The 13,737-nt window shown below is 40.2% G+C and overlaps 1 long non-coding RNA gene across 1 annotated transcript in view, besides 1 other annotated feature; it reads right to left on the reverse strand.

Moving 5' to 3' along the window:
- The window catches only part of DYNLRB2-AS1 (DYNLRB2 antisense RNA 1), a 407,178-nt gene that overhangs the window by 53,426 nt on the left and 340,015 nt on the right, over positions 1-13,737 (reverse strand). The window lies entirely within an intron of this gene.
- Positions 11,807-12,049: a silencer, noted in NCBI's record as "fragment chr16:80255087-80255329 (GRCh37/hg19 assembly coordinates)". NCBI's record gives its function as "represses an EF-1alpha promoter that drives an FKBP-Casp9 reporter gene in an ReSE screen in K562 erythroleukemia cells {active_cell/tissue: K562}" and the evidence as "EXISTENCE:reporter gene assay evidence [ECO:0000049][PMID:32094911]".

Here is a 13,737-nt window from a genome sequence, read left to right on the forward strand (position 1 = left end):
CTCAATTAAAAAGTAGTCCACCTAGGCCCCAAAGGTTCAAGAGGATTACCTGTGTCATCTAGGCAGTCACTTCAAAAGCTAGCTGAGAAGCAGACTCCTACGAGAGCAACTTTTTCTGTCAAGTCCAATAAACATGATCCTCTTAGGAAAAAAATGCTATAATCCAAACAGGTTGAACGTAAACCCAATTGGTTTGTAAGGATAGAGGTACCAGTGAGACACAAGGATTCCAAATTGTAGTGGCCACCTGGTCCCTAGAAAGACCAGACTGTTTAGAGTCCAGTTCTTTCCAGCAGTGACCACATGGTACCCTGGGATGGGCTTGGACTTCAAGGTCACATGCAGTGGTGTGCCAGAGCCAGTCTGTACCAGCCAATGAGAGGAGACTGTGTGCATCTCTTCCCAACTCTAAGGTCAGTTGTGTCACACTGACAGCTTCAAATCAGCCATGGTGGAGGTATTTACACCATGTAAACAGGCAGACACTACAAACCAGTGCTTTATTTTAATCTTCAGGGAGCCAGGAGTTAAATATTACCCAGTACATCACTGGATGCAGGTTCAAATCCTGGCTGGACAATTGTGAATATGGGCAGGGATAGTTTATTTAACTTTCCCGAGCATTCATTTCTCCGACTATTAAAAATGGAGATAAAACTCTTTCCATACACAGCTTTTTTGTTTTTTCTCCATGGCACTTACCCCCACCTAATATTATAATAAATCTGTATCTGTTGATGTTGTTATTCTGCTTGTGGTTATGTCTTTCCCCATAAAGCTCCCTCATTTATTCAAAAATGTGTACTGAGCACCTACTATGTCTCAGACCCTATTCTAGGTACTTGGATACAGTAGTGAGCAAAACAGACTAAAATTTCTATTTTCATGGAATATACAAACCATAAATATAGTAAAGGGTATGTATATCAGATGGTGATAAGCACTATGCAAAAAAAAAAGTAGGCTGGGGAATAGAGCATGTTAAGATCAGAAACGGGCATTGCAACTTTAACAAGGGTAACCATGAGGACATCCTTTAGAATGTTACATTGGAGAAAACTGCAAGAGATGAGGAAGTGAGCCCAGTGGCCATATGGGAAGGAGCATCCCAGAGAGAGGGAAAAGGGACCGATGGGTGGGACCGTGACTAGAGTGTTTGAGGAATCCACAGAGACCACTGTGTTTGGAGCAGAGGGATAAAGGGCATCAGCCACAGAGGATGAGATAATAGCAGCAATGGGGTAGGATTTTATAGGGCATTCTGTAACCAACAGAACTTTCTGCAAGGATGAAAATGATCTATGTGGGTGTACACACGATGGTAGCTACTAACCACAGGTGACTGTGGGGCATTTGAAATGTGGCTAGAGCAATTAAGGAAATAAATTTTTCATTTTATTTAATTTTAAATAATTTTAATTGAAAAAGCCACACTTGGCTAGTGGCTGCAGTTTGGGACAGTGCAGTTACAGACCACTGTAAATATTTTTGTTGTTTGCCCTGTATGAGATGAAGAGCCACCGGGGAAACCCAACAAAGCAGCTCTATGATTTGCCTGACCTTATCAAGTCTGGCTCTGGCTGCTCTGTGAAGGAGAAATTGCATGGCAAGGCCAGTGAGAAAGCTGTGGCGGCCATCCAGCAGGACACGCCAATGGCTCCATGACAGAAAGGATTGTATTTTGCTCTCTTCTCTATTTCCAGCACCTAAAACATAGAAGGTATTTTAGGATATTTGGGGAGTTAAACTGAATTAACTAAATAAGATTTTTATTTGCTCATTCAGTGCAATTTTTTCTGTTTTGCCTAAAATTTATGGGTTGGCAATGACATGTGAATGACATATTTGTCAGGTATGTAGGCAAGAGATTGGCTGAGTCTGAATATTATTTGACACAGTAAGTATATCCCAAAGTTTATTCCATAGACATGGGTTTCATGGAATGTTAATGAGTATTAAACAGTAAAAGATATACAAATAAATTATATGATTAAAGAAGTTTGGGAAATGCCAATTTAAGCACAATAAAAATTTCTTTACTGCAGTAAATATCAATGCCTTTCATATATTAATATAAATTGTGTCACTCCAACAGGACACAAACATGTAGGAAATATCTTCCAACTGTGTTTCCAATAGGGCCCCTCATTTTTCCTTAGTTGGGCATCTAGTCCAGTGGATGTTCAACAGAGCACTCCTTAGGAAATATTGCATTTGCTGAATCATGGAAAGAGAGACTGAATACAGGCTGCCACCGCAGACATTCTCTAACACATCACTCTGCTGTATTTTCTCTATAGCACTTAACACTATCTCAAACTATCACCTTCATTTATGTGTTGACCTGCATATTCAACTATAACTTACGCAAGCAGGAAACCTAAGGGAGTTGAGGGGTCTTGTCTACCTGCTGACATATGTACTCAGTCCCTAGCACAGCAGAAGGTGACAGAAAAAACATTAACTGAAAGAATAGCTAGTTAATGAGCCCAGATAAATGGTATAGGAATTCTGTTCCTGGAATCCTTTGTTCTGGATGGCCTAGGGGACCCTGGAGAAGCTGCAACTCAGCCCAACCTCTGCAGTGAGGAACAAAATGCTTCAGAGAGGCTAGGGCAGACCTGCCAGGCACAGCAAATGTTGTTTGCCCAGCACAGAGCTGTGAACACGCACAGTGGACAAAGACCATTCTCCTTGGGATGGTGAACTGTAATCTCTTAGTCACATCAGATGGTGTTCAACTCTCTGTACAGAGTAGGGGGTCAGAAGGGATCTGGGATGGTTGAATGAACAACAGTTCTAATAGCTAACATCAGTCAAGTGCTTGTACTAAGGATTTGACCAGCATCATTTAACTCTCTATCCATCTCATTTAACTCTCCCAGCAATCCAAGGGACGGATATTATCCCTTTCTACTGATGAGTAAGCTGAGTCTGAATTAAGAATCAAACGGTCTTAACCACCATGCAGGATTCCCTCCTCAAATAATTACATTGTCCTGAGTGGACACGTTCATGTTTCAATAAGAACACAGTGCAAAAGACAGATACTGAAACAAACACCAAGTTAGGACCTTAGAGGTAGAACGACCACTCTATACTTGTCAGGAGTGTGGGAGCATTCAGGAAAATGTTCACAGAGAAGTTAATATTTGAGCAGCATATTAAGACGGGATGGCTCTTCCCTTGGCAAATGGGATGAAAGCGAGGGCATCATGAGAAGAAGGCACAGCCATGGGCAAAGCAGGAAGACTGGAGGTGGCTTACATGTTCAGAATCGCAGGCAAAGTCCAATCTCCTTCAACTCACATTTAAGTGAATGTTTGAATATTCAAATAGATGTTTGAAAAAGCAATGACTGCCAGACCTCTCAGGGGTCATATAAAATTATTTCTTCAGGGTGTCCTGGCAACAAAAAGCCAATTAAAGCCCCAGGAGTCAGTGACTGAGCACACAAAAAAAACAAATCCTCTGAGTCCACAACTCCCCTCCTCTGGTTCTTTCTCTTCCTTGATCGTATTTAACTGGAAGAAGTGGCCATGAGTAAAGCAACCATGAGGGTTGAGTATCTCACTTATGATGGAACCCATAATAATTATTGACTGTACCTTCTATAATAAGCCTTAAAACTTATTACTCCAGCTTTGCTTCCTGGGCTTCATGTCAATACCTCTCATGTGCAGTGGTGGTAGGGGAATAAGTGTAAAGTACTGAGCACAGATTTATTTAAAACTTTGTCCCTGAAATTTACTTTCACTGCAGTATATTGGCCGTAATCAGGAGCCCAAATAGCCCCTGGCTAGGATAAAAGATAGCACAGGATTGAAGAGAGAGACACAGCCCTGGTGTGAGGCTGACCTGTCTGGATGCTGGTCCTTCCACTTTTACCACTCCCTGACTTTTTTCCCGTATCTAAAATATAAGTCCTATCTTTCAGCGTTTTAGAGGAAATAAAAGTTAATAATGCATGTAAAGAACCTGACCCAAATCCTAGCATATACTAAGAAGTCAATATATACTTATTTCCTTTGAATATGTACACTTTTAAGTCATTGTGCATGGGGCTGGATCTCCATTGGCTCCTGTTGAGGGCCTGTCCCATGTTCTGCTCTGGGGTGGAAAAGATGAAGGGTACACAAGTTGGAGAAGACACACCTTTGCCTATGGGGGGCTTATGGTTTAGTTGGGAATGCAGTTGTATAGACATGTTGAAACCAGATAATGAGGATGGTTCTCATTCAAAAGTGGCTTCATAGGTTGTTTCAGTGCTAAAGGAGCTCAAAAGATGCATGATGGAAGGCTTCCAGAAGATGAGACTTAAAGAATCACTAGGATTTGGGATGGTAGAAAGTAGGGAAATAAACACGATGAGCCAAAATCCTGGGTTGAGATGGTCTTCAGATGATTACAAAAAAAATAACTATTAGACCTGTTAATATTCAAGCACTGTTCCTCAATTTAGTAACAAAGTAGGCTCTAGAAAATTCTAGGAAAGCACAAATTTGAAATGTAAGCTTACAATTCCTCAGACATCAAGGTGGTGTTTTGTTACTGGTCGAAATTCTCTTGATTGTAGATGCATGGGCATGGTTCTCTGAGATGGTGCAATTAACCCTTGCATCTTCACATAAAGATCAGTCATTTTAATGAGGCAAAAACCTTAGTATGCTCTCTGGCTTCACTTCAAAATGATGCTCCAGCTCTCATTGGGGAAAGGTACTAATCATTTCAATGTTTATTAATGCCCCTAAAGCCTGTCTATATTTAGAAAAGTTGTGCCTGGGATTTTGTGACAGTATATGCAGAATTTGCTCATGTCATAATTTTATCTTCATTCATGACTTCACATGACTCTAAGAAGAATGCATGTTGAAGCGGAAAAGCCATCAGGCACTTCTGTGGTTTGGGTTTTGCTGAATGCAATGCTTAGTGAGAAACCACCCTGAGAAGAAAAGGTTGAAGAGAGTGATTAAATGAAATGTGAACAGTGAAATATCATTAAGTCATAATCAGTTTATGCAGAATTGATGCCAAGTCAAAACAAAAACTGTTTTCTGTCATTCTACCTGAGCTCTTTGCACAGACCCATGCCAGCTAAATCCAGGTCTATTTATCCTGTTCTTGAGAATCTCATTTAACAGGACACTACTCCACAACTCACTCTTGTGTCTGCTCTTTAACTAACCAACCTCTAGCCTAACCAACCTCTAGCCTGAACATTCATTCTTGTTTAGTTGAGGCATAACAACTAAATAACAGGTGGTGACATAAACACCTATCACCACTGCCTACCCATGCCCATTTTCCACAAACATAATCAGTTCTGTTACGTCACTCTCTTCTAACTTTTGAATTATCAATACATTTCAAAAAGTTCTAGTTCCAATCATTATACTATATATTCTGGACAGAAGGGACCACCAAGAGTTCAAAAATTATTTACTGAGCAGCTACTATACGCAAGTGACTCTCCTGGAGTTGCAAAAATAAGGCAAGGTTTTTGGTTGCAAGAAGTTCAGTGTATTAAACCACAAGACATATCGTCCGTGTCCTTCAATGACCCTATTAGAGTATACTTATTTATTGATAAACAATTTGAAAACAGAGCTGAATTCACTGAATGCCTATATTCAGTGTGATGTCTTGGGACAAGACCTAATTCCTCTTTCTTTCCTTTCCCACCTGACAAACTCCCAGTCACTGATCCTTCAAGAAGGAGCTCAAAGGATTTACGCAACTTTGATAGATAAGAAAATGTTACTCCATCTTGTATGTCACATCTTGTGGAGTAGCCTTAGTTTCTCCAAATCAACTATTTTATTGATGCATCTGCCTTCTTTATTAGACTTAAGCTCCTTAAATACTGGAACTTGACTTTTTCATTTCTACACCCTGGCATCTAGTTTAGTACCTAATCCAGTACATACTTGCTGCCTGAGTATGATGAATAGCTGAGTATGATGATTGTCGTTGTAATATGTATATGCTCCTCTGAATGGAAATACGTATTTGCTCCATTCTTTCAATGCAATTCCTATTCTTTACTGAGGTCCAGCCTAAAACCCATGGTCTTCAGATGATTACAAAAAAATAATAACTATTAGATCTGTTAATATTCAAGCATTGTTCCTCAATATAGTAACAAAGTAAAAGGCTTTGTTACTCAATCCTACTCACTTCATCTGGGTATTTATCCAGAATTCTGGGGAGATACAAAAAAAAGGCAGCATGTAGGCCAAATCATTCATATAGATATGTTTGCATGTGTCTCTGGAATATGTCCTTTGTTTTTATGCATATACCTATCCTATCTCTTTGAAGCAATGTTCTCCTCACTATAAAACCTGTTATTATTTTACTCAATGAACCCATATTCTATCATTTCTGATGTAAGCATGGCTACTACTGCTCTCTTTCATTTTCCCTTTACATAGAATATATTTTTCCATCCCTTCTCTTTCAGTCTGTGTGTGTCCCTAGAGGTGAAGTGAGTCTCTTGTAGGCAGCATATAGTTAGGTCCTTTTTTAAAAAAAACATCCATTTGGCCACTCTGTCTTTTGACTAGAGAGTTTAACCCATTTACATTAAAGGTAATTACTGATAGGTAAAGACTTACTAGTGACATTTGTTGTTTTCTTGTTATTTTGTAGATCATTTGAATAAATTCAAGTTCTAAACTTCTGTTTGTTTGCTTGCTTGTTTGAAGATCAAACTGCATTTATGAAGTAAAGACTTCCTTTTTCTGACTGGTACTCTGATCAGCATTAATAACCAAGACTACCGCTCTGAGTTAATAAAACTCCCATCCAAACAAAAAAAATTAGCATGTTATGTTTTGTTGGACTGTGCTGCTTTTTTGTAGGTAAGTTCTTAAGTGATTTGTGTTTGAAATACTAAGTAGGATTTTAGAAACCCCAGTAATACTTCTGCAGACCCCTAGAAGTATCCAGACTTCATGAGTAACAGTGATCATGAGTAACATGATTATCCGTCAATTACATGCCAGATACCTTTCTTGTCCTAGCTTTGCCACCACTATGTGACCTTAGAAGTTATGTTCCTCTATGTCTCGGTACCAAATGTACAAAGTATAGAGAGTATTCTCCTAAGAGTTATATACATTTAATGAGATAATGAACAAACTCCTTACCTAAAGTGCCCAGTGCATACTTAGGTCTGTGGTCCTGCCCAATCATCAGTAGGTAGCTATTACTATTTTTCAGACTTTCTATGACCTGCTCTTTTTTCTAACTGTCTTGCTGCATAACTACCCGTGGCATTTCAGAGTATGAAGCACTAGATTTTAAGAAAGAAATTTAATAGGATTCTGTCACAGGACAGGGAAGAATTAAGGCAGATAAGCTTGGGGGTTTTCATAAATCATGTAGATTTTAATTGGAAGCAGTGGTGTTTGCTATGGCTGGAAGACAAGAGAAGGAGTAGTTCATTACCTGAGTATGTCAGCCTTCATCCAGTGGGATTGAGAACTTGGAGAGAGGGCCAGCAGAGAGTTACCATAGATTACTTAGACTTAAGTAAACCAATTACTTGTTGATGAAGGCTCATGAGCAATTTATACCATGCTATGTCCATAAGCAGTATGACTGGTTGAGGCAGAACTGCTAAAGTAATATTGGAGTGATTTTCCCAGTGAAATGTGATATTCCAGTTCTCTCTTTGGATCACACTGAAAGAGAGGATAAAATTTTAAAATCCAACAAATTAATACTTCACCAATCCAGGTTTGTGGAAGGTTTGTGGCGAAGAAGTCAGATCCTCCTAAGTTTATTTTATTCCAGGTCTCCTGGATCCATCATAAATGGAATTTATAGTTGGCTCTAAGAAGTGATAAAACCACATGCATTCTTATCTTTGCCCTCACAATATGTAGCTTCTCATGAGCCTCCTTCAACTTTGCCCCTTGTTCACTCATCTTCTCCCTCCAGGGGGTTGGCAGCCACCAGGTCACTGTTTTAGTAGTCCGTTTTGGATTGTTTTCAATCATTTCATGGCCTGTGAATTGTCTGGGTTAGAAGCTACAGGCAGTACTAGTGAACAGTTCATGTTAGGAGCAAAGACATGAAGAAAATACTTCCTCACACACTGTTTCTTGGAATTCTAGTCCATGAACTTCATGTGATTCTAAAATGAGAGAATGGTATAATGACATGTCAATATGTACATAACACTGGTTACCACTGACTATGAATCTCCTGGGGGGACCCATTCCATTGAGAATAAAGATTTATTTTCCCAATTTGCTTTGCCATTGTATTTCCAAGCTGTGTAACTGCAAATTTTAAGAACTGGCTTTAATTTCATTTTGTAGGAATCTAGTCACGATCTCTAGTACATTAAATCTCTTTAAAGTCTTATTAATCTATTAAAAAAATCTTTACCAATGGATAACCAGTTTTAACTTGGAACAATTTTCACCCACATCTGTGTCCTTAGAAATCATTATTTACAAGTTATCCAACAGGCCTGGGAAAAGAGAAGCTTTCTTTAAACAGTACATCTTCAGAGCAGACATGTATTATATTTATATAATGAAGCGGTTGTCTGACTAGCTATATAACAACTCAGGTGTTTTTAAATAAGTAGAAAAAATGTAGCATGGAAACTTAATTCTGCTCCTGGAGCAGGTTGATAAATCTAGCCAAACATCTTTATTTTTTACAGTACATTAAGGGAACATTTTTATTTAGTACAGTCATAGATCTTCACATTATTGGGAAGTGTGTTCTTATGTTGCTTTTTTGTCTTCAGAATTGCCTTAGGAAGACGTTCTTTCACTGGGAGTTCTATTGATGTTATTCTGGGGGAGAAAACTGTGCCCAAATTGATTTGAATTAATTGAGGACTACAGAATGGTGTCTTCATGCCCCTCACTGCCAAAGGCTTTGTCTGCAGAAGAGGAGTTTTGCCTTTAAAAGGATAGCCAAGATTTTCAAAAATGGATGATGAATACATGGTTCATCAAACTATTCTCACAACTTTTGTGTACTTTGAAATTTTCCATAATAAGTAGTTCTTTCAAAGGAACTGGCAATAAAAGGGGAAAAGCATATCTATGGGAAACCTATTAAAATTCATTTCCCATAGATACATTAGCATTCACTGTGTCCCAGACTCTGAGCTAAGAAGTATAGAGTGGAAACAAGAAACTGTCCTCAAGAAACTCATTCTCTAGTTGAAATAATTTTCATGGACTGAATGTTTCCGTATCCTCAAAACTCACATGTTAAAGCCTATAACACCAAAGTGAAGGAGTGGGAGCTTTGGGAATTAGAGAGATGATCTCACCCCCTTCTCTCTCTCTCTCTCTCTCTCTCTCTCTCTCTCTCTCGCTTTCTCTGCCATCAAAGATATAGCAAAAAGGAAAGCCAGCCAGCCATCTACAAGCCATGAAGAAGGCCCTCACCAGACACTGAATCTGCTGATCTGCTTGTGCCTTGATGTTGAATTTCCAGCCCCCAGAACTGTGAGAGAGAAAAAAAAAATCTTGTTTAAGGCATCAGTCTGTGGTATTTTGTTATAGCAGCCTGAACTGACTAAGATAATACTGTATATAGATGTGGAAACTACTCAGGCTATAAGAAACTAAATGGTGTTTAGTTTATCAGCCCTGAAATTTAAAGGGGTGATTTAACTGCGGTGCTCTGGGAAAATCTTCTAAAGGAGGTGATTGAGTGGGCATTAAAACATGATCATGGCTTCAAAATTCCAAGGAGTGTATGTGATATGGTTTGGCTCTGTCCCCACCCAAATCTCATCTTGAACTGTAGGTCCCATAACCCACACATGTCATGAGAGGGACTCTGTGGGAGGTAATTAAATCATGGGGGCCAGTCTTTCCAGTGCTGTTCTCAGGATAGTGAATAAGTCTCATGAGATCTGATGGTTTTACACAAGGGCAGTTCCCCTGCACATGCTCTCGTGCCTGCCACCAGTTAAGATGTGTCTTTGCTCCTCCTTTGCCTTCCACCAAGATTATGAGGCCTCCCCAGCCATGTGGAAGTGTAAGTCTATTAAACCTCTTTTTCTTTATAAATTACCCAGTCTTGGGTATTTCTTCATAACAGTATGAAAATGGACTAATACAGTATGCTAGTCCACAGAATAGTATAAACAGAGGTAAAGAAAGATGGAGAAATAAGGAGTGTTCTATGTTCCCTGACTCACAAAAGAACGGTCTGGAGTGACTCTATTAGTAGGATTCAAAGGGAAAGGTGAGCTAAAGGCACATTATATCCAGAGAATTAAATTTCAAAATGAGGCATAAAAAATTTAACCTGAAGAATTAGAAACTCATTCAAGGGAAGATGGCCGAATAGAAACAGCTCCAGTCTATAGTTCCCAGCATAAGCAACCAGAAGACAGGTGATTTCTGCATTTCCAACTGAGGTACCGGGTTCATCTCACTGGGGAGTGTCAGACAGTAGGTGCAGGACAGTGGGGGCAGCACACCGTGCACAAGCCAAAGCAGGGCGAGGCATCGCCTCGCCTGGGAAGTGCAAGGGATCAGGGAATTCCCTTTCCTAGTCAAAGAAAGGGGTGACAGATGGCACCTGGAAAATCGGGTCACTCCCACCCTAATACTGCACTTTTCCAACCAGCTTAAAAAACGGCACACCAGGAGATTATATACCACACATGGCTTGGAGGGACCTAGACCCAAGGAGTCTTGCTCATTGCTAGCACAGCAGTCTAAGATCAAACTGCAAGGAGGCAGTGAGGCTGGGGGAGGGGCACCCACCAATGCCGAGTTAGTTGTTTGATTAGGGAAACAAAGCAGCCAGGAAGCGCAAACTGGGTGGAGCCCACCACAGCTCAAGGAGGCCTGCCTGCCTCTGTAGGCTCCACCTCTGGGGGCAGGGCACAGACAAACAAAAAGACAGCAGTAACCTCTGCAGACTTAAATGTCCCTCTCTGACAGCTTTGAAGAGAGTAGTGGTTTTCCCAGCACACAGCTGGAGATCTGAGAACGGGCAGACAGCCTCCTCAAGTGGGTCCCTGACCCCCGAGTAGCCTAACTGGGAGGCACCCCCCAGTAGGGGCGGACTGACACCTCACACGGCCGGGTACTCCTCTGAGACAAAACTTTCAGAGGAACAATCAGGCAGCAGCATTTGCAGTTCACCAATATCCACTGTTCTGCAGCCACCGCTGCTGGTACCCAGGCAAACAGGGTCTGGAGTGGACCTCTAGCAAACTCCAACAGACTTGCAGCTGAGGGTTCTGTCTGTTAGAAGGAAAACTAACAAACAGAAAGGACATCCATGCCAAAAATGCATCTGTACGTCACCATCATCAAAGACCAAAGGTAGATAAAACCACAAAGATGGGGAAAAAACAGAGCAGAAAAACTGGAAACTAAAAATCAGAGCATCTCTCCTCCTCCAAAGGAACGCAGCTCCTCACCAGCAATGGAACAATGCTGGACGGAGAATGACTTTGATGAGCTGAGAGAAGAAGCCTTCAGACAATCAAACTGCTCCGAGCTACAGCAGGAAATTCGAACCAATGGCAAAGAAGTTAAAAGCTTTGAAAAAAAATTAGAAAAATGGATAACTAGAATACCCAATGGAGAGAAGTCCTTAAAGGACCTGATGGAGCTGAAAACCAATGCACGAGAACTACGTGACAAATTCAGAAGCCTCAGTAGCCGATGCGATCAACTGGAAGAAAGGGTATAAGTGATGGAAGACAAAATGAATGAAATGAAATGAGAAGAGAAGTTTACAGAAAAAAAGAATAAAAAGAAATGAACAAAGCCTCCAAGAAATATGGTACAATGTGAAAAGACCAAATCTACGTCTGATTGGCGTACCTGAAAGTGACGAGGAGAATGGAACCAAGTTGGAAAACACTCAGCAGGATATTATCCAGGAGAACTTCCCCAATCTAGCAAGGCAGGCCAACATTCAAATTCAGGAAATACAGAGAATGCCACAAAGATACTCCTCGAGAAGAGCAACGCCAAGACACATAATTCTCAGATTCACCAAAGTTGAAATGAAGGAAAAAATGTTAAGGGCAGCCAGAGAGAAAGGTCGGGTTATCCACAAAGGGAAGCCCATCAGACTAACAGCTGATCTCTCGGCAGAAACTCTACAAGCCAGAAGAGAGTGGGCGCCAATACTCAACATTCTTAAAGAAAAGAATTTTCAACCCAGAATTTCATATCTAGCCAAACTAAGCTTCATAAGTGAAGGAGAAATAAAATCCTTTACAGACAAGCAAATGCTGAGAGATTTTGTCACCACCAGGCCTGCCCTAAAAGAGCTCCTGAAGGAAGCACTAAACATGGAAAGGAACAACTGGTACCAGCCACTGCAAAAACATGCCAAAATGTAAGGACCATCAAGGCTAGGAAGAAACTGCATCAACTAATGAGCAAAATAACCAGCTAACATCATAATGACAGGATCAAATTCACACATAACAATATTAACTTTAAATGTAAATGGGCTAAATGCTCCTATTAAAAGACACACACTGGCAAATTGGATAAAGAGTCAAGACCCATCAGTGTGCTGTATCCAGGAAACCCATCTCACGTGCAGAGACACACATAGGCTCAAAATAAAGGGATGGAGGAAGATCTACCAAGCAAATGGAAAACAAAAAAAGGCAGGGGTTGCAATCCTAGTCTCTGATAAAACAGACTTTAAACGAACAAAGATCAAAAGAGACAAAGAAGGCCATTACAGAATGGTAAAGGGATCAATTCAACAAGAAGAGCTAACTATCCTAAATATATATGCACCCAATACAGGAGCACCCAGATTCATAAAGCAAGTCCTGAGTGACCTACAAAGAGACTTAGCCTCCCACACAATAATAATGGGAGACTTTAACACCCCATTGTCAACATTAGACAGATCAATGAGACAGAAAGTTAACAAGGATATCCAGGAATTGAACTCAGCTCTGCACAAAGTGGACCTAATAGACATCTACAGAACTCTCCACCCCTAATCAACAGAATATACATTCTTTTCAGCACCTCACCACACCTACTCCAAAATTGACCACATAGTTGGAAGTAAAGCACTGCTCAGCAAATGTAAAACAACAGAAATTATAACAAACTGTCTCTCAGACGACAGTGCAATCAAACTAGAACTCAGGATTAAGAAACTCACTCAAAACCGCACAACTACATGGAAACTGAACAACCCGCTCCTGAATGACTACTGGGTATCTAACGAAATGAAGGCAGAAATAAAAATGTTCTTTGAAACCAACAAGAACAAACACAACATACCAGAATCTCTGGGACACATTCAAAGCAGTGTGTAGAGGGAAATTTATAGCACTAAATGCCCACAAGAGAAAGCAGGAAAGATCTAAAATTGACACCCTAACATCACAATTAAAAGAACTAGAGAAGCAAGAGCAAACACATTCAAAACCTAGCAGAAGGTAAGAAATGACTAAGATCAGAGCAGAACTGAAGAAGATAGAGACACAAAAAACCCTTCAAAAAATTAATGAATCCAAGAGCTGGTTTTTTGAAAAGATCAACAAAATTGATAGACCACTAGCAAGACTAATAAAGAAGAAAAGAGAGAAGAATCAAACAGACACAATAAAAAATGATAAAGGGGATATCACCACCGATCCCACAGAAATACAAACTACCATCTAGAATACTATAAACACCTCTATGCAAATAAACTAGAAAATGTAGAAGAAATGGATGAATTCCTCGACACATACATCCTCCC

This window comes from Homo sapiens, chromosome 16 (genome assembly GCF_000001405.40).
Source record: "Homo sapiens chromosome 16, GRCh38.p14 Primary Assembly".
In the NCBI taxonomy this organism is placed as follows: Eukaryota; Metazoa; Chordata; class Mammalia; order Primates; family Hominidae; genus Homo; species Homo sapiens.